Genomic DNA, 19,229 nt, shown 5'->3' on the forward strand with positions numbered 1-19,229 from the left:
TTTTATGGGGGGGGGGAGTTTTTGGGGGGAGGGATAAGAAAGGTTGTTGCTTTCTGCCTTTTCTTTTTAAAAAAATCCTACAACTTTTTCCTTTTCCTCATTTTTATCTCTTAGATTATTCACTAAAACTGAGGTTCTTCCAGCCCCAGCTATGTCATGGCCTCTGTAGAGAAGGAGGGTGAGCAGCAGATACCTACGTAGCCTCAGGTTGACTTCAGAGAGAGTGGGACTTACTGGACAGAAATGTAGTGGGAGGAGCGCCTATCAAGATTCAAAACTGCCTTCCAGCCATCCTTTTGATCATCCTTTCCACCTTCAAGTTGCTTAGTTCCCCTAAGAGTCAGTAGAGGTCACTACAGCTCCACAGGTTCAGCTCCAGTATGAAGCAAAGGCACACTTTTTTTTTTTTTTTTTTTAAGGCGTTGAGGGTCAGATCTGTCTAGCTTACCAAAGATTTGAACTGCTAGGCACTTCCTTGATGTTTATTGTTCACTAAACAGAGCCTCTGAGAGATTGAGAGAGGCCAGACACTTAGTTCACAAGGCTATTATATTAAAAAATAAGAGATAAAGCCAACAAATATTTATTGAGTACATACTATACAGTAACACTGCTGTTGGCCCTGGAGATAAAACAGTCACAGGTCAGCCCTTGCTCCCATAGGGCTTACACTCCAGTGGGGACACCCACAAAGCATGAAAATAAAAGCAGTAAAAATAAAACAGGGCATTATGTTACAGAGGGGTGGGGGAAAAGGCTCTACTATGTTGAAGGCAGAAAAAGGCCTCCCAAAAGAGGGAGCATTTAAGCTGAGATGTAAGGACAGGAAAATGCCAAAATAGGGTTACAAAAATTGAGGTTTATACCCCCATAAGTGTATAATTATGATTTGTCAATCAAAAATATTTATATTTTAAAAAGATTGGAGGCCTCTAAAAAATTGAGGTTAATAATAAGTTCACATTTTTAACTAAGAGAAAAATGTTACATAGTAGGTTAGGATTTCTTTAGCAATAGAATGTTACTTTAGAACTTTGGGGCCGGGCGTGGTGGCTCACGCCTGTAATCCTAGCACTTTGGGAGGCCGAGGCAGGCGGATCATGAGGTCAGGAGATCGAGACCATCCTGGCTAACACGGTGAAACCCCATCTCTACTAAAAATACAAAAAAATTAGCCAGGCGTGGTGGTGGGTGCCTGTAGCCCCAGCTACTTGGGAGGCTGAGGCAGGAGAATGGCGTGAACCCAGGAGGCAGAGCTTGCAGTGAGCCGAGATCACGCCACTGCACTCCAGTCTGGGCAACAGAGCAAGACTCCATCTCAAAAAAAAAAAAAAAGAACTTTGGATAAAATAATCTATCAGTCATACCTATTATGCTTTAAATATTCTACCTACAGATGGTGATATCCTAAAGAGTGTAGGATCTAGACCAATGGTACTTAAATTTTCACATGCACACACATCACCTGGGATTGTTAAAATGCCAGAGTCTGGCCCGGCGCGGTGGCTCACTCCTATAATCCCAGCACTTTGGGAGGCCAAGGTGGGCGCCATCACCTGAGGTCAGGAGTTTTGAGACCAGCCTGACAAACATGGCGAAACCCCATCTCTACTAAAAATACAAAAATTAGCCAGGTGTGGTGGCAGGCGCCTGTAATCCCAGCTACTCCGGAGGATGAGGCAGGAGAATCGCTTGAACCTGGGAGGCGGAGGCTGCAGTGAGCCGAGATCACGCCACTGCACTCCAGCCTGGGCGACACAGTGAGACTCTGGCTCAAAACAAAAACAAAAAAACAAAAAACCCTGCCAGAGTCTGATTCAGGAAGTCTGGAGTGGGATCCTAGAGTGAGACTGTGCACTTCCGTTGACAGTACACCAACACTGCTGGTCCTTGACTATGACTTTATGGTCATAAGATACAGGATTCTAAAATAGAATACATGGCATATATACAACAGGTGATGTCCCATTATGGGACACAAATTTTAAAGACACTTAAAATTGTATAAGTATCTTTTCAGTAGCGCTAGTGTGTTCCCGTGACTGTAAAGATAACACAGATAATAGCAAAAGTTTGAAATATGATGCCTTTCAAATGGCTCTCCCTTCCTACTTTGATAGGCTCTAATTAGGTGCCTCACATAAATGCCCTTTGGAATTTCTGATACCTGCCCTAGCAGGTTGAAGGGAGATTCTGAAATGAAGCAAGGCTCCTAATCATAGTCACAGGCAGGGAGCCATCTCAATTTCTGGAACACAGAACTGGGAGTGGGGAGACAGCAGGCATACCAGCACCCTTACATGCCAGAGAAGTGAGATTAACATGACGCGAAAATTAGCCTCTTCTCTCCCGTTCCATCTTAAAAAAAAAAAAAATTCAAACCATTGACAAAGAATTGCTAAAATGGGACCTGTTGCTCCCACACACCAGAGCCACCCTGGACAAAAGCCAACGTCCCAGCTAAGAAAACAGTCTGTCTTCTTCCCACGGTAACGTAGGCTTTGTTTATATCATCCCTTGGCCACTCCATCCTGAAAATGTAAGACTGGCACAGTCAGTAGATGGGGGCGAGTTCGTCTAGGAGCCTCCCCAACTCAGCATCAACACCTCCCAGGGCGTTCCCTCCTGCCTTCGGCTCATCTCTCTCATCACATGCCAATCCTGGGATCTGAGAGAGAGTAGTCTTGACATCAGCCCCCGCGAGGCTGCAGCTCCCACCTTCCTTCGGCTGTAGCTTCCGAGTTCCTCGGTTACAACGTGCAACGGGTCAGGTGGCCAATGTCCTTGATCTCCGCACAGTAGAGCACTGGGGGAAAGAAGAAGGGTTAGTGGCAGCAGGAGCATGCCAACGAACCTCGGTATTCCTCGGCGCTCTCTCCCCTGCATCCTCCCCGGGCAGCCCCTCACCGTTGCTAGGCAGCGGACGCCGCCAGCGCCGCGCAGGCCCCAGGACCCTGTCCCAGAGCCGCCGGAGCGCGCGCCACCCAGCACTCCTAGGCCCCGCCCCCTTCTCGCTCTCCCCTTCTTCCTCCGCCTCTCCGTCAGCGTCGCTGCTTTCCTTGGCCGGGTTCCCAGCCTCATCTCGTTCGCACTTGGCCCGCGCTTTTTCCTCCAATCGCGACCACAAGTCCGAGTCAAGAGCCATCTCCGTGAGGCCGCCGCGAGGGAGCTGCGAGGGCGCGCGGCAGAAGGGGCACGTGACCACGCGGCGCAGGCGCACCACGCGCGCGGCCGCCCCGCCGCCGTCCCCGCGCGCCGCCAGCTCGCGGAGGCAGGCGGTGCAGATCGTGTGGCCGCAGCGGGCGCGCGCCGTTCCGGGCAGGCGGCGGGGCGCGCGGCACCCGAGGTTGAAAGGACGGTAGCAGATGTTGCAGTCCAGCTCGCCCCGCTCCGGAAGAGAGGGTACCCTCACCAAGAGCTGCATCGTGCCCGCCGCGGACTCGAGGACGTCGCTAACGCGGCCAGCTCCGTGAACAGAACGAGCACACTCTCCTGGGGCCGGGTCGGGTCCTGGGGCCGGCGCCGCGGCCTCTTTCCCCTTTAAATAGGGGAATAAGTGAGGCCCCACCCTTCGGAGCGTCACGCCTTGATCGGGCCGCTCCCTGTGGCGGCACGTGTGGGGGCGGTGGAGGCTTGAGGCCGGGAATGACAGCAATGATGGAGTCGGGGAGGCGGCCCAGGCCATGCCAGGACCGGAGCCCTGGGGGCCAAAGCACCCATTCCTCCCTACTCCCGGGGGAGCGGGGTGGGGCTTTCCTTCTTCCCCCAACGCAACGCCAGCGCTCCTTAATTCTACCATGTACAAAGCCCCGGGTCTCTCTCTGCGCCTGAGCCCTCAGTCACTGGCACAAGTCTCTAAAGCCCCCTCCGCCTATTCAGTTGCTCGCAGTTAGTTTCACAATCCCACCCAGTTTCCAAACACGGCCCGTTCTGCCCAACCTTTAGTGGTCCCTGGGCCTTTGAATCGATTTTGCCCTCAATTCTCATTATAGATGACCTCTCTGTGTTGTTTGTAAGGCTGGCTTCCTAAACTTCATTCTCCCCAAACTGCTTAACTCTCAGCTGGTATCTCAGCCTAAGGAGGGACCTAGATGCCAGGACCATGGCTTTAGGAATGCTGGGAATCCTTTCCTTCCGGAGGCCTGGACACCCACACATCGTGATGGCCCCAGCAAAGCTCCCCAGCATAAGTTCTGACTCAGGGGTCTGACTTCTCCCACTGGTAAACAGGACATGGTACTCACAACCCACATTCCCCTCATGGTGCCACACCCACACACAGCTGCCTCCTCACCCTCCTCTCCTGGACCTGCAGCCCAGGTTCTGTTATGGAGGGTGATAACACAGTCTAGAGCCAGCTGGCTTGAGTTCAGATCCTAGCTTCCACCTCTTACTAGTTGTGACACTTTGAGCAAGTTACTTAATTTCTCTGGGCCTTGGTTTCCTAGTTTTAAAAATGTGGATAATAATAATGAGGACTGAATGAACTTATATGTGTAAGGTGCTTCAAATGGTGTCCAGTACACAGTAAAACACCAGGTAAGTACTATATTAGCTACTATTGTTATCCTGTGCCCCCAGCCTATACTGAATTCACATTAACTTCTGAGTACCCAACATTTTCTTTTTTTTCTTTTTTTTTTTTTTTTGAGACGGAGTCTTGCTGGGTTGCCCAGGCTGGAGTGCAGTGGCACCATCTCGGCTCACTGCAAGCTCCGCCTCCCGGGTTCATGCCATTCTCCTGCCTCAGCCTCCCGAGTAGCTGGGACTACAGGCGCCCACCACCACGCCCAGCTAATTTTTTGTATTTTTAGTAGAGACGGGGTTTCAATGTGTTAGCCAGGATGGTCTCGATCTCCTGACCTGGTGATCCGCCCGCCTCGGCCTCTCAAAGTGCTGGGATTACAGGCGTGAGCCACCGCGCCCGGCCAGTACCCAACATTTTCAACACCCATCCATCTTGACCAATATGTGCATGATGAGCTTCTCCACACCCATGGCATTTACCAGCTATCACAGGCAATGCAAAGCTGGTTTTTAAACCTAAATTGTTAAAACCTAGAGGGTAATCTCTTTTGAGGAGGTATACCATCATTTTTAAGCAAACATTTCAGAACTTTTGAATGGTATTGTCTGTGATCATGGGAGAAGCTGTCTACTTATTACAGTGATGCTGTCACAATTCAAAACTTTTTGGTCTTAAAAAAGGACTGGTAGGGCCAGGCATGGTGGCTCTTGCCTGTAATCCCAGCATTTTGGGAGGCCGAGGTGGGTGGATCACTTGAGGTCAGGAGTTCAAGACCAGCCTGGCCAAATGGTGAAACCCCATCTCTACTAAAAATACAAAAATTAGCCGGGGGTGGTGGCTCACACCTGTAGTCCCAGCTATTTGGGAGGCTGAGGCACGAGAATTGCTTGAACCTGGGAGGTGGAGGTTGCAGTGAGCCGAGATCACGCCACTGCACTCCAGACTGAGCAACAGAATGAGACTCGGTCTCAAAAAAAAAAAAAAAAGGGGGAACTGGTAGGTATCTATTGTTAATAAATACATGATGGGCCGAGTGTGGTGGCTTACGCCTGTAATCCCAGCACTTTGGGAGGCAGAGACGGGCAGATTGCCTAAGCTTAGGAGTTCACGACCAGCCTGGGCAACACAGGGAAACCCTGTCTCTACTAAAATACAAAAAATTAGCTGGGCGTGGCGGCGTGCACCTGTAGTCCCAGCTACTCAGGAGGCTGAGGTGGGAGAATTGCTTGAACCCAGGAGACAGAGATTGCAGTGAGCTGAGATCGTGCCAGTGTACTGCAGCCTGGGCGACAGGGTGAGACTCTATCTCAAAAAAAAAAAAAAAAGCTTTTAATGTGGTGGTAGATTAATGGTGGCCCCAAATTCCTTTGCAATGTGACTTTGCTGCATCTCACATCAAGAATTGGGGTCTCTTTCTCTATCCCTTGAATCTGGGCTGGTCTTGTAACTAGTTTTGACCAATAGATGTGGCAGAAGTGATGTGTGAGTTCTGGAACCTAGTCCTTCAGAGGCCTTGTAGCTTCTGCTTTTGTCCCCTTGGAACACTCCCTGAGACCACCATGTGAGGATGAGGCCACACGGAGGAGCGCCAGCCAACAACCAGACATGCTGGTGAGGCCATTTTGCATTTTCCTGCTTGGCTCACCTGCCATTTGAGTGCAGCCACGTGAGTGAGCCTAGGTGAAAACAGCAAAGGAACTCCCAGCAAGCCCATAGAATCGTGAAAAAGAACAGTTTTTAAAAGTTATTTCTACTGAGTGTGGTGGCTCACACCTGTAATCCTAGCACTATGGGAGGCCAAGATGGAAGGATAACTTGAGCTCGGGAATTTGAGATCAGCCTGGGAATCGTGGTGAGACCCCATCATTACAAAAAAAAAGAAAAAAGCCAGGCTCAGTGGTGCACATCGTCCCAGCTACTCAGTAGGCTGAGGTGGGAGGATCACTTGAGCCTCAGGACTTCGAAGCTGCACTGAGCCGTGATCATGTCAGTGCACTCCAGCCTGGGTGACAGAGCGAGACCCCCGCCTCTTAAAAATAAATAAAAAGTGGCTGGGCGCGGTGGCTCACGCCTGTAATCCCAGCACTTTGGGAGGCTGAGGCAGGCAGATCACAAGATCAGGAGATCAAGACCCTCCTGGACAACAAGGTGAAATCCCGTCTCTACTAAAAAAACAAAAATTAGCTGGGCGTGGTGGCACGTATCTGTAATCCCAGCTACTGGGGAGGCTGAGGCAGGAGAATCGCTTGAACTAGGGAGTCGGAGGTTGCAGTGAGCCAAGATCGCCACTGCACTCCAGTCTGGCGACAGAGCGAGACTCCATCTCTAAATAAATAAATAAATAAATAAATAAATAAATAGTGGCTGGGTGTGGTGGCTCACGCCTGTAATCCCAGCACTTTGGGAGGCCGAGGCAGGTGGATCACCAGGAGTTCAAGACCAGCCTGGCCAAGATGGTGAAACCCTGTCTCTACTAAAAATACAAAAAATTAGTTGAGCATGGTGGCACTCGCCTGTAGTCCCAGCTACTCAGGAGGGTGAGGCAGGAGAATCGCTTGAACCCGGGAGAGGGAGGTTGCAATGAGCTGAGATCATGCAACTGTACTCCAGCCTGAGTGACAGAGCGAGACTCCATCTCAAATAAAATAAAATAAAAATAAATAAAAAGTTATCTCAGGCCATTAACTTTGGTGGTGATTTGTTGTGTATCAATAGATAACGGATATAGAGGGTTTCCTACTGTTTTTTTTTCCCTGTATGATAAATATATTTTTTGAGACAGGAGCTTGCTCTGAGCATCAGGCTGGAGTGTAGTGGCATAATCTTGGCTCACTACAGCCTTGATCTCCCAGACTCAAGCCACCTACCTACCTCAGGCTCCGAGTAGCTGGGACTACACAGGTATGAGCTACCATGCTCAGCTAATTCTTGTATTTTTGTAGAGATGGGGTCTCCCCATGTTGTCCAGGCTGGTCTTGAACCCCTGGGCTCAAGTGATCCCACCTGCCTTGGCCTCCCAAAGTGCTTGGATTACAGGTGTGAGCCACTGCGCCCAGCCTAGATAAATATAACATTGTAATGTGCCCTGTAAGTCCCTGTGTGTTCTGAACTTACCCCTTCCTTCCTTCCTTCCTTCCAGACAGAGTCTTGCTCCGTCGCCCAGGCTGGAATGCAGTGGTGCAATCTCAGCTCATTGCAACCTCTGCCTCCTGGGCTCAAGTGATTCTCCTGCCTCAGCCTTCTGAGTAGCTGGGACTACAGGTGGGTGTCACCATGCCTGGCTAATTTTTATTTTTATTTTTATTTTTTATTTTTAGTAGAGATAGGTTTTCGCCATGTTGGCCAGGCTGGTCTCAAACTCCTGACCTCAAGTGATCCACCAGCCTCAGCCTCCCAAAGTACTGGGATTACAGGCGTGAGCCACCGCACCCAGCCATTACCCATGTCTCACTTTCTGTTCTGTTCCTCTCTAGACACTCTGGCTTTGGGTACTTTTGGCTTGTATGTTCTTTTCTGCCACAGGCCTTAGCATATGCTCTTAACCCTCTTGCTTAACCCTTATTAACACCTATTCATGCTTCAGCTCTCAGCGTAACCTCACCATGTCAAATAACCACTACAGACTCAGTAATACCATGTGCTTTCCTCTGGACTTTGGACAAGAAGTTTGTATTTATTTGGTGGTTCTGTGATTGTCTCTCTCCTCAGCAAGATATATGAAGGTTCTGAGTCTGGTTTTGTTCACCCTTGTATCCCTGTGCTATACCATAATAGGACTCAATAGACAAATACTTGCTAAATTAATGAATGAGGTGGGTGATAAATATGGCAAATGTCCATATACAAAGGAGGCGTGACAATAAAGGAAGGCTTTTTTTTTTGTTTTTTTTTTTTTAAATCAAGGCGTTTCCAAACTCTCTCTGAAGGTAATTCTAGGAGGAATGGTGTTTGTTTGTTTTTAATATTTTGAGCAATGGGACAGGTTCATTAAAATAAGTGTATAACCCTCTAAGATAACTATTTAAGGAGAATCCTATTTGGGATTGATAAATTCTCGTATGTTACAGAATAACTAATCATAGTTTAGTAATATATTTTACTTCTTTGTTTCCTCCACAGTCTTGCAAAATGAGTGGGAGATGATGGGGTGGATTTAAGTATTAATTAGTTGATGCAGTTGGCTGCTAATCCAGTAAATGGCATGCTGCTGACTTTTCTCTTTTGGAAATTGGTTTTACTTTGCTTGCCCAGCTTTTGGATCAAGGCGGGATGAGGACGGGTAGAAGGGAGATGGGCAGGTTGTATTTAAGGAAGGCAGAGCTCATCCTCCTCTACCTTGTGATCTTTAAGGTTGTAACTTTCCACCCAATTCTGTTCCAGTGAAATGATAACATCTTTCCTTCTCTCTGTATTCCCTCAACCTCAGACCATTCTTCACTTTACCTCTCCACCAAATCACAAAGCCTCAACCTCAGAACAGCATCTCCCCCTCAGCCACAGGTTCCTTGGCATATGTGTGGGTGTCCAGCGAGAGAGAAATGAGAAGTACAAGGAACAAGTATGGCTAATATTACTTTAAATACAAACAAATAAAGGCAGATAGCTAAGTCTTTCATAGAAAGAGGAGGAACAAAATTATGAAGCCAGATTTCTGGGTTCTAAGGAATGTGGTAGCTGAAGGAAGAAAACTGGGGCCTGGGGTATCTGGTGTCTTGGTCCTTGATGAGAACAGTGACTAGGAGCCCGATGCCTGGGTCACCAAGGTGAATGAGCAATGGAGAGAAAGCTAATGCTAGCAGATTTCTAATGTTAGGGGGCGAGAGGGCCAGACAAGTGAGACTGTGACCCTAACCTCCCAAGCCCCTGCAACTTTAGACACTGTGAGGATCAAGCTGAGGTTTATTTACAGTTACCTGGGAAGTCTTACAGAGAAGGGGCCATCATTATTGCTTTAGGTTTATTGCCAGGAGGAAGACTGCAGTTCCCCACTGCCAGGTAGGAGGCCCTGCTCAAGGCTCAAAAGTCTATACCCAGACGTTTTATTTATTTATTTTTTTTAAATCAAGGCGTCCCTGCCCGTGACGGAAAGGCTGTCACTAATTCCTGCCAAGAACAGCCCAACTGTTTTCCAAGGACCACCCCGGCCACTTTCACCAGACTGCAGCGTAGATGTGCTATTACATTTCCCTCTACCTTTGTCAGTGCTGTGCCACTGTAGACCCCACCCTGACCGCCCTCCTCCACCTCTGGGCTGGGAGGCAGGGTCCTGGTTTCCCAAAGATTATCATTTACTTCCTGCCAGGACCAGCCTGGCTTCCTTCGTACCGAATACGCTAAGAGCCCCATTTCCTATGTTCCAGATGACATCACAACTCACTCACTAGGTTATTACCCTTTGATGACATTTCAAGGGCCCCTTTTGAGGTACACTGTATGTTTCTTGTATGTGCTGGGTTTTTGTTTTTGTTTTCTTTTCTGGGCCTCGGGAATAAGGGGAGGAGAGTAGGGAGCGAGACGAAGTGGCAGAGAGCCGACGGCGAGTAGCTCATGCCCGGGATTTGCAAGAAGGGCCTAGAAAGACGCAGCAGGGGGCGGGCGTGCTACTTTCTCTCTCGACCCCACTGCAAAAGGATATGGCTTTGTTCATGCGTATCACTACTCGAAGCCGGGACTCGTTGGTGGGCGGGGCTAGTCTGGCTCCGGCCGCTGCGTGGAGGGATCCGGAGCGGGAGAGGCGGCTGCGAGGAGCGGGGCTCGGGCGGGTGCAGCGACACCGGGTTGGGTCCCTGCGCCCGCGACAGACTACTTCTTGGAATGCGGCTTGTTTCCCAGGAGCCCGTCTATTTCCATCACTGTCTGCGGGGTCAGCTGGCTCAGCACCTGGAGGAGAGTGGGACGGTGGCGACGGCAGCCCATGCTGGGTCACTGAGAAAGGGCATGGGGTTCCAGTAGCCGGGGAAGCACCACAGTGGGGTCAAGTGGCAAGGCAAGAGCCGCAGCTGTGCCGGTGCCTCGCTTTCCGGCCCTGGGACCTCTCACCTGCAAAGTGAGGACTTTGTAGTGGGTGACCTGATAGAGCCATCCTGGGTTGGATAGCGTGGCTTTGACTCCTGGGGAGGGGGACAGATAGGCTCTGCCTCTGAGTCCCCGGCTCACCTGTAGCGCGCCCAGGTGTTCTATCAACTGCTCCGCACTCGACACCCCCAGCAAGACAGAGCTGACACCCTCACTGCGGAGACACCACGCTGGGGCCAGAGGAGGAAAAAAAGAGGACTGATGGGGAACAGTGACCACATAGATTTCAGAAGTGTCTCTGAAGACAAGCGTCCTCCCTAGGGACAAACCAGTTTTAGGATGGGCTTGGGAGCATGTCAGGAGGAGACAGGGCCCCTGCAGGGTGCAATGTCTCACCAATAGCAAGCTGGGCCACGGTGCAGCCCAGCTGGTGAGCGACAGGAAGAAGGTCCATGACTTTGGCTTGTTGCTTCTTGCCATCTTCACTCTGCACTTTGTCCTTGAGCCACTGGTAGCCCTGGAGGCCAAGAAGAATCAACAGAAGACCCCGCCATCACCACCACCACCACCACACTCACAAAGCAGCCCCCCGTAACTCCCCCCAAAGCAGCCCATATAGCCCAGTCCTGCCATCGAGAGCCCCCAGATCTCACCTTGATGGAGGCCCTGCAAGTATCTGGGACTCGCCCATCATACTTGCTAGTAATGAGACCACAGGCTAGAGGGTACCAAGTGACTGATCCAACTCCTAAGGGAAGAACACTGGGTGTCAGGAAAAGGACCTAGCCATGGATGAGGCTAAGGTAAAGGCAGGGATGAGGGCTGCAAACCAATCTTGTGGTAGAGCTCTGGCAGCTGCATCTCCACCTTCTCCCTCTGAAACAGATGGTGCTCCGCTTGTTCACACACTGGAGGAATCAGATTGAACTGTCTGGCCATGGAGTAGGCCTCCTGGGTTGGGGTTGGGGAAAAGAAAGTGGTCAGAGCACTACTTCCGTTTTCTTCTCTGCCTTCTCCCCCAGTGCAGTGGGCTTTGGAGTAACCACGTGAAAAGTGGGAACCAGTTGTGGGACAGGGGCAAGGTGGGGTCACACACTCACCATGATTTCTGCAGCCCCCCATCGGGATGTCCCCCAGTATAGGGCCAGGCCCTGGTTGATGACATAGGTCATGGCTCGCACAATCTCTAGGTACACAGGAGAGGGAAAGCCTTACTGTCAGAGCCCTGGAATCTAAGACTCCAGATTTGCAGACCTCCACCTGCCCCACCAAGGCCCCAGGCAACTCTATGGAGTCATGAAAGTTAATATCTACTCTTTGCCTCTCTTCCTGTCCACATCCTGGAGTCTCAGCCTCCACTGTGGAGTTTTGGAGGCCTTCTGAGCAGGGGCTGGCTTCCTGCTGAGGGTTTGAGGAAGTGCTCAATTTTTGTATTTTAGATTTTTTGAGACAGGGTCTCACTCTGTCACTCAGGATGTAGTTCAGTGGTGCAATCATAGCTCACTGTGGCCTCAAACTCCTGGGCTTGAATGATCCTCCTGCCTCAGCCTCCTGAACAGCTGGGAGTACAAGGCACACACCACCACAGCCAGCTAATTTTAAAACATTTTTTGTAGAGACAGGGTCTTGCTATGTTGCCCAGACTGTTCTCGAACTCCAGGCCCCAAGTGATCCTCCTGCCTTGGCCTCCCAACGTCCTGGGATTACAGGAATGAGCCACCGCACCCAGCAAGGAAGTGCTCAGTTTTGAAGGACTGTAAGGTTTGGGGGTGCTGCTTTTACCCTCCATAGGACAGTTGGGGTCTGAGCGATTGGCAAAGACAATGTCCACGTATCCCAGCTGGAGGCGTTCCAGGGATCCTCGCAAGCCTGGAGGTGGGGTAGGGAGAAGAAAATAAGCACCTCAGCTTCAGTGTACTAAGAATGCAGGCCACCAGGCGTGGTGGCTCATGCCTGTAATCCCAGCACTTTGGGAGGCCGAGGTGGGCGGATCACCTGAGGTCAGGAGTTTGAGACCAGCCTGGCTAACGTGGTGAAACCCCATTTCTACTAAAAATACAAAAAATTAGCCAGGCGTGGTGGCGTGTGCCTGTAATCCCAGTTACTCGAGACGCTGAGGTAGGAGAATCCCTTGAACCCGGGAGGAGGAGGTTGCAGTGAGCCGAGATCGTGCCATTACACTCCAGCCTGGACAACAAGAGTGAAACTCCGTCTCAAAAAAAAAAAAAAAAAAAAAAGAATTCAGACCTTGCCCCCTTGCCATGGCCACCTAAATCCCTATTCAAAGCCTCCAGAAGTTCAGAGAATGTTCCCTACTCCTCTGGCTTCCATATCCCCTCACTTTGGGTTTCCAGCCCCTAACTCTCACCCTCAATGATGTGCTTTCGGCTTAAACCTCGCTCGGTTTCTGCCCTGTAGGAAAAGGTAAGTCAAAGATGAGATGTGACAAAGATAGGGGACCGGGGCTGGCTTGGAGCCATAAGGAAATGGGATTGCACGAGTCTTCACAGGCATGGTGCGGACCTGGTGCAGGATAGCTGTCCCCACCCCCACCCCATACACCTTCACACATTCTTTGTAGGCCTTCTCCACAATCGCAGTGGGGCAGCCACTTACTGTCCTCCCCAAAAAATCTTGGTAGTGATGACATAGCTTGATCTCCTGGAAGAATAGAAATGGGAGAACCAGTAAGAAAAGGATTTTTGGGTGATCACATCCCCAGCAACCCCCCAAAACAGTCTCACCTCCAACCTTTGCTCTTGAGGATGTTCCCTAGGGTTCTTTCAGCCCTAAAAGAAACATAAGGCAGAGCCACTGATCCCTTCTAGGCCAATCAATTCCTTCCTCTCCTCCCCACCTTTTCCTCTCTTGCAAAGTAGGATATAAACCAGGAGTCCATTTCAGCTCACAGCCCCATCCTGGACAAAATAAGAGGTCTGTTGGAAGGAACTAGGGGTGTAGTTGTATAGTTTTCATCACATATTCAACAAATATCTGTTGTGCATTAGCTGTGTACCAAGCCCTGCTGTGGGTGCCAAAAAGATAGAATAGGATGAGGGGAGAGGGGCCAACTATGGTGGAGCCAGGAAGGACACTGCCTTGTCTGGCTTCAACTATCTGGGTTGCCCTCCTCCTTCTTTGAGCCTCTGCAAAATCCCACCCGTCCTCCAAAGCTCAGCTCAAATTCTGCCTCATCCATAATGTGTTCTCTGAGTGCCACAATCTATGGTCCAGCCTTCTGGTCAGCTTCCACAGAATTGGCTACATAATTTAGCATAAAATTATGAGCTCACTTATGACAAGTCTTAAGTTGTCATGGTGGACTGTTACTGAAATGTTTTACCGTTGTTTAATCTTTCCTATTGCCCTTTTTTTTTCCTTTAACCACTTAGACTGTGTGCACTTTCGCAGACATGTTGATTCTTCCCAGAAGCAGCACCTGCTCTGTGCCAGGCTCTGTGTGGGTACTTGGGGAAGAGCAAGACAAGTTCCATGGAAGGAGGCCTCTGACTTGAGCAGCTAATATAGCTGCATAAACCACGAATTGCGTGTCAGAAGGCAGTCCACAGTGCTTTAGGAGCTCATGGTGGGGGAGGGGGTGACCAACTCTGGGGAGTTGGGCAAAGTTCTTGAAGGAGCGGACACTCGGGTCAAGTCTTGAAGATGAGCAGAAGTGTTTGCTAGATGGGGAAGAGGCAGGGTAGGTCATCCTAGGTTTTCCCTGCTCCTAGTGTGAAACGGCATGATGTGTTTGAAAATTCATCTTTGTAGTTGCACATAACTAATGCCTCAGATATATTTGTTGCCTTTATTTAATGTAGCTGCACAGTACGCCCATTGACTTCTAAGCCAGAGAGGGACTAATGTTGGGACTGTAGCTCCTACAGTGCTTTCGGGTCCCTCCGCCAAAAGGTTGGAACTTCACGTTCTCAGAAGTCCCAGGGTTCTTTAGAGGGAAAACGAGAAGATAATCCCTGGGGTCCTCTCAGCCTTCCAAATGGAGCTTAGCTCTTTCACCCCAGTCCTTACTTTCCTGCTGCGTACACTTCGGCGGTGTCAAACAGGTTTACACCATGCTCATAGGCTACAGTCAGCACATCCTCTGCTGTCTAGGGAGGTGAAAGAGGTAAAGATCAACTACTGCTCCTCAGTTACCTCCCTCACTGTACTCTAACCCATCACATCTCAGCCCTGGGTTCTCTAGTCTCTCCCCTCTCCCCATCCTCCAGCCTCAGATCCCTCATTCCCTGTGCTTGTTGTCCAAACCCCTATCCAGGTTCACTTCCCTTTTTTCAAGTTCCCTCACCCCCACCACCCTGATTCTAGGTCCGATAACTTATACCTCATCTGAGATCTGAGAACCAAATGTGACCCAGGTACCTGCAAGAGAGAAGCCAGGCACATGAGAACTGCAGGGGGCAGACCATGAAAGAATGCCCTCCTTTCCTTAATCCCTATTCTGACTCACCTAGGCCAAGACAGGATACCCGAAGACCAGACTTCCCTAGGTTCCTGCAAGATACAGAAGCAGCGGGAAGGGGTGGAGCCTCCATTATGGACTTAGATTATCAGCCCCCAGCTCCTCTCCTTCCAGACTGAGAAGCCCTCAGGTGTCTCAGTCCAAAGAAATTAGACCCAGTGGGCCTATAAGATTGGGCAAGTGCTATCTCCAGAGCAGAGGTCCTAGGAATTTTCTCAAAAGGACAAGTGAACCATATGTGACTGTTCCTCTGGAGCCACTGTCCAGAGTCTCCATTCCCTCTTATCACATTGAAGACGTGCAGTCTGGTTTGTCCTTCTTCTGGGGTCTTGTCTGTGTTTGAGTCATCTGTGGGTTGTGTGCAGTGAGGGGCTGGGAGGAATTTTGTTTGATTGTGGTGAGTTTGTGAGACCAGGCCCTCAGGCAGAGTGCTGTGCCAAATGGTAGATGGCAGGTTGGAAGAGGTAAACCAAGTCAAGTTCAGGCATTCAGACAGACAGGGGTCCCTGGCTAGGCTAGGCAGATGGGCCTGGAGGAAAGGCAGATTGAGGACCTGGGGGGAGGGGGGAGAGTAAGACAGAAAAGCCTAGTTCTCCCTCTCCACTCCCTCTGTTCCTATTGACTTGTGAAGACTGTCTCTGAACCAGTGAGCCCCCTCATCCTCCCAAAGCCCCCAACCCAGGTGTCAGCTCAGCTTTCCAATCAGGGCCACCATATAGAGGGGATCAGATTCCTCAGGTGACAAAGCAGGTCAGATCAGTGACCTCAGCTCACTCCCAAGCAGGAGCCCCTCCTCTACCCCCTACTTCAGGTTCTGAGCTTCTGGTCTGGCAGTCCTCTGAGATAAAGTCAGTTACATTTCAGTCTACCCAGACCCTGTCCCTCAGCATGGAGATGAAAAATGTGGTCCATCCTTCCCACCGGCCCCACTCCCCTTGCACCCAAGAAAGGTCGCAGAAGACCTAGCCTTTGGGGCAGGCAGGGGCAGTATCTGGGTCAGGCACCCCGAGCAGGCCAGAGTGAGAAGCTGATTCCCTCCCTCCACTCCCCAGGACACGGACCCAAGGACACTCCACTGGAGGAGGCATAGCCTGGAGATCCGTGTAGCGTGGAGATCCATGCATCCCTGACCTTCCCAGGGGTAAGGAGGGAAGCTCAGGGGCATCCCCTGGGTCTGACAGGACCCAGTCAACCTTGGTAAACTTGATTCTCGTAGTCAGGGGTATCGACAGAAACCAAGAGAGGGACAAAGTGAGGGAGTGCCAGAGACAGAAAGAAGAGATGGAAAGAAGGGAGACCTACTTAGTGAAGTTTGAAGGGGTCTTGGCGGCCATCTCAAGCAGTCTCAGGGGTCCCGAAAGGAAAGCGGAAGGGGTGGGCTGCCCGGCCACCCCCATACCTGTATTTCATGCCAGTGCCTCGGCCGGTGCTCTCTCGGAGGGCCCCAGCGGGCGCTGGGGGTCGGGGAACCAGTGCAGCTCGGGCCTTGGGGCCAGACCCTCCACCCCCCGGAGGATTCCCGTGCCCCCCGCCGGCCGGCCCACCATTACCGCCCCCGGGGCCCGGCCGGGGTCCACACAGACGGTCCTCACTGCTCCGGCTGCGAAGGTTCTGCTCGGTACACGCGATAGACACCTGCATGCTGGCTGGCCGAGGCGGGGGAGGGGGCTCCGAGGGGACGGGAGGGGGGAGCAGGGAAGCCCGAGGGCTGACGACCGGGGGCGTAGTGGGGCGAACCCCGGCAGAGCGGGAAGGCTGAGGAGGCTGCGGCGGGAGCCGCCAGGCAGGATCGGGCCCGCGGGGGCGGGCTGCTGGAGGTCGCGAGGTTTGCGGCGGGAGGGAAGAAACGTGGGGGGCGCCAGGAGTGGAGATATTCAGTTACGGGGGACACAGGAGCAAGGATTAGGAGGGGGAAATGGATGAGGGTAAAGGTCGAGGATGAGGTAAAGGTCTCGGAGGATAAGGACCCAGGGGGAAGCGGGGCGGGAGAGAGATGCCACTTCAGCGCGAACCGCTGCGGGACCCGCTGGGCTCCCAGCCGCGTCGGCAGCGGGCCCAGCTCATCAGCATGCAGGCACCGCCTCCTCATCTGCATAGAGCCGCCCTCCTCTCAGCCAAACCTGCCGCTCATCTGCATAAGCCCCGCCTGCTGAAGGCTCTGCAGCTTGAATATTTTCTGAGCGGAATTGGGGAGGATGGCTCCTGCACCCTCTGGGACCCAAGGGCTGTCAGGCTTCCCCCGGCCCAGTGATTCTCAATCGGGAGGGAATGTATCTCCCAGCGTACTTTCGGCAAGGTTTGGAGATATTTTTGATTTCATGCCTGTGCTATCAGCATCTAGTGGGTGGTGGCCAGGGATGCTAAAATCCTACAAAGCACAGGACGGTCCCCACAATAAAGAATTATCCAGCTCAAAGCATCAATATTCCCACGGTTGAGAAACCCATCCGCAAAGCCACTTCGTGGCCCTCCAGGGGGTGTGGCTGCCCTACTTTCCACCTTCATGCGTGGGGCAGGACTGAGAGGGCCCTCAAACCAACACGCTCAGGCCGCAGAGAGTGACAAAAAGTTTATTCTGTGCTTCTCGCAGCATTAGGCAGGGGATAAAACTGGAGAGAGGGCCTGGTGTGGAGGTGGAGGGACTCTGTGGGCTTCACTCTGGTAGGAGGAGAGCATCAGGGCAGGCCTTTAGGCTGTTGCTCTGGGCAGGGGGTGGGGGTGCGGGGGCTTACAGTGGGGGCCCTTAGTTGGCACAGGTTCGGAAGGGCCCCAGGCAGACATGAATTCTCCTGAGACTTGAGGTAGGTTGCTTCAGCCAGCCCGGGCGGAGAAGAAGGGCAGAGAGCGAACATAGGAGTCCAGTCGGGAGCGAAAGAGCTCACTTTGCACAGTTTGGCCCAGCGGGCACAGGGGATTCTTCACCACCAGCTCCACATACAGCTATGGAAAGGGAAGATGTTAGAGCCAGGCTTTGGATACTTCTGGTTTTTAGCCCCAAACCTTGTATAACCTCAGGGGTGTGTGAATGCACAAGGAATAAGGGCTGGAAGGCAAGCCCTCTCTGAGGAGAAAGTGGTGGTGGGAGTTAAGAACCTAAGGGCCCCTGAGAAAACTCTTGAGTTGAGCAAACATATAGTAGGATTGGGGCAGGGGAGATGAGGGAGTCTTGGGGTTCTGAAGAGCTCTGGGGGATGGGTCCCTGGGGCTGGCACTGACCGCACTGTAGATGTGGTGCAGCACATCTCGGATGGGTCCCACGCCCAAGTCAGTATTCATGACAACTTTGATCCCAGTGGGCGTCTCGTAGTAATGGAGTTTGTAACGGCTAGTTTGGAAGGCCAGGAAGCCATCCTTCCTGCAGAGATGAGGAGGGTGTTAAAGAATGGGAGCAGAATCTCTCCCAAAGAGACACTTCTGATCCCCGCAAACATCGACTCCCTCTTTATCTAAACATATCCTTTGTAGAAGCCTGGTTGAGTAAAGACATCGCCCATCGTCACCCCTCAATTTAGCCCCCACCAACTTCTCTACTTTCAGACCCTCCCCACCCCCACTCCTGCCAGCTCCAGCACTCTCGCTCCGGACTCAGCCTCTCTTAAGTACCCTTTCCCCCCTCTGGAGGCCAATGCTCCTTCCACTTCAGAAAGTTTCCCCCATCCCCAAATTCCCAAGGCTAGCCCTCCTCCCAACATCTTCTCTGACTCCGCGTACATGTCTAGCGGGGACATCTTGCTGACAAACGAGCGGATAGAGAAGAGCATCCCGTACATCAGCTTATACTCCTGGAGGGAGAGGGGCAGAGTTAGCTCTCGGTTGATGCGGGAGATGGGGTGGGGGGTGGGAACGAGCTGGGGTTTGGAGAGGAGGGGCTGGGTTGGGACTATAGGTGTTTGGAGATGAGAGGTCGCCCGGGCTGCACCGGGGCCCTCTCGTCACCTCCTCCTTGGGAATCCCTGCTTGCTTCTTGCGGTGCCATTCGCTGTAGTGCAGACACACTCCATTCCGGTCAAACAGGTACAGGTTGTGGACAGTCATCTGCAGGGCAGGGAGTGTGAGCCTCGCTCCGGGGCCGCCCCCACTCCTTGGGCTCGGGTTCCCGGACCCACAGCCTTCCAACCAGGTGGGGACCCCACCCACGGACTCACCGGAACTGCTCCGAGTGCCCGTCAAGAGTTACTTCCGGTTTCCACGGAGCTCCGCCCCTTA

At 51.8% G+C, this 19,229-nt stretch overlaps 3 protein-coding genes across 15 annotated transcripts, besides 3 other annotated features; all 3 read right to left on the minus strand.

Annotated features, from left to right (window-relative positions):
- Positions 1–552: 552 nt before the first annotated feature.
- On the minus strand, positions 553–3,547 carry RNF227 (ring finger protein 227). 2 transcript variants are annotated; one of them, NR_152444.1, is made up of 2 exons: positions 3,413–3,547; positions 553–2,806 (listed from the first exon to the last, which is right to left on the minus strand). NR_152444.1 is itself a non-coding variant. In NM_001358699.2 (2 exons), exons 1-2 carry the CDS (start codon positions 3,422–3,424, stop codon positions 2,751–2,753), a joined length of 573 nt encoding a protein of 190 aa, NP_001345628.1. In that variant the 5' UTR covers positions 3,425–3,518; the 3' UTR covers positions 568–2,750. The 2 variants fall into 2 exon arrangements, 1 of the variants encoding a protein (NP_001345628.1); NM_001358699.2 differs by having other exon boundaries at positions 568–2,806; positions 2,908–3,518.
- Positions 2,236–3,169: an enhancer, noted in NCBI's record as "H3K27ac-H3K4me1 hESC enhancer chr17:7818325-7819258 (GRCh37/hg19 assembly coordinates)". NCBI's record gives its function as "activates a minimal SCP1, AML or CMV promoter by ChIP-STARR-seq in primed H9 embryonic stem cells {active_cell/tissue: H9 hESC(primed)}" and the evidence as "EXISTENCE:reporter gene assay evidence [ECO:0000049][PMID:30033119]".
- Positions 3,148–3,457: a silencer, noted in NCBI's record as "silent region_8148". NCBI's record gives its function as "represses an Ori minimal core promoter by ATAC-STARR-seq in GM12878 lymphoblastoid cells {active_cell/tissue: GM12878}" and the evidence as "EXISTENCE:reporter gene assay evidence [ECO:0000049][PMID:35858748]".
- Positions 9,088–17,085, minus strand: KCNAB3 (potassium voltage-gated channel subfamily A regulatory beta subunit 3). 9 transcript variants are annotated; one of them, NM_004732.4, is made up of 14 exons: positions 16,423–17,085; positions 15,012–15,055; positions 14,886–14,923; positions 14,573–14,652; positions 13,288–13,332; positions 13,160–13,204; positions 12,912–12,955; positions 12,326–12,412; positions 11,644–11,729; positions 11,374–11,494; positions 11,197–11,291; positions 10,940–11,060; positions 10,685–10,773; positions 9,088–10,408 (listed from the first exon to the last, which is right to left on the minus strand). In NM_004732.4, the coding sequence occupies exons 1-14, from the start codon at positions 16,662–16,664 to the stop codon at positions 10,331–10,333; spliced, it is 1,215 nt and encodes a 404-aa protein (NP_004723.2). In that variant the 5' UTR covers positions 16,665–17,085; the 3' UTR covers positions 9,088–10,330. The 9 variants fall into 9 exon arrangements, 8 of the variants coding, with proteins under 8 accessions (NP_004723.2, XP_047293001.1, XP_047293005.1 ...); XM_047437045.1 differs by having other exon boundaries at positions 10,685–10,860; XM_047437049.1 differs by having other exon boundaries at positions 16,326–17,085.
- On the minus strand, positions 17,574–19,228 carry TRAPPC1 (trafficking protein particle complex subunit 1). 4 transcript variants are annotated; one of them, NM_001166621.1, is made up of 5 exons: positions 19,169–19,228; positions 18,960–19,058; positions 18,735–18,805; positions 18,240–18,378; positions 17,574–17,963 (listed from the first exon to the last, which is right to left on the minus strand). In NM_001166621.1, exons 2-5 carry the CDS (start codon positions 19,056–19,058, stop codon positions 17,835–17,837), a joined length of 438 nt encoding a protein of 145 aa, NP_001160093.1. In that variant the 5' UTR covers positions 19,169–19,228; the 3' UTR covers positions 17,574–17,834. The 4 variants fall into 4 exon arrangements, 2 of the variants coding, with proteins under 2 accessions (NP_001160093.1, NP_067033.1); NR_030697.1 differs by lacking the exon at positions 18,735–18,805; NM_021210.5 differs by having other exon boundaries at positions 17,578–17,963; positions 18,960–19,175.
- Positions 18,889–19,128: an enhancer, noted in NCBI's record as "active region_11654". NCBI's record gives its function as "activates an Ori minimal core promoter by ATAC-STARR-seq in GM12878 lymphoblastoid cells {active_cell/tissue: GM12878}" and the evidence as "EXISTENCE:reporter gene assay evidence [ECO:0000049][PMID:35858748]".

This window comes from Homo sapiens, chromosome 17, assembly GCF_000001405.40.
Source record: "Homo sapiens chromosome 17, GRCh38.p14 Primary Assembly".
NCBI classification, from domain to species: Eukaryota; Metazoa; Chordata; class Mammalia; order Primates; family Hominidae; genus Homo; species Homo sapiens.

Coding starts and splice junctions, on each gene's coding strand:
- RNF227 (NM_001358699.2), bottom strand. CDS start 3,424: ATGCAGCTCTTGGTGAGGGTACCCTCTCTTCCGGAGCGGGGCGAGCTG. Junction 2,807..2,907: donor GCGTCCGCTGCCTAGCAACG/GTGAGGGGCTGC, acceptor TCTTTCCCCCAG/TGCTCTACTGTGCGGAGATC.
- KCNAB3 (XM_047437044.1), bottom strand. CDS start 16,664: ATGCAGGTGTCTATCGCGTGTACCGAGCAGAACCTTCGCAGCCGGAGC. Junction 13,333..14,572: donor GAAGTGTACGCAGCAGGAAA/GTAAGGACTGGG, acceptor TGTTTCTTTTAG/GGCTGAAAGAACCCTAGGGA. Junction 10,409..10,939: donor CGTGGCCCAGCTTGCTATTG/GTGAGACATTGC, acceptor ACTCTCCTCCAG/GTGCTGAGCCAGCTGACCCC.
- TRAPPC1 (NM_001166621.1), bottom strand. CDS start 19,058: ATGACTGTCCACAACCTGTACCTGTTTGACCGGAATGGAGTGTGTCTG. Junction 18,379..18,734: donor AAGATGTCCCCGCTAGACAT/GTACGCGGAGTC, acceptor TCATCTCTGCAG/GAAGGATGGCTTCCTGGCCT. Junction 17,964..18,239: donor TGCACCACATCTACAGTGCG/GTCAGTGCCAGC, acceptor CCCTTTCCATAG/CTGTATGTGGAGCTGGTGGT.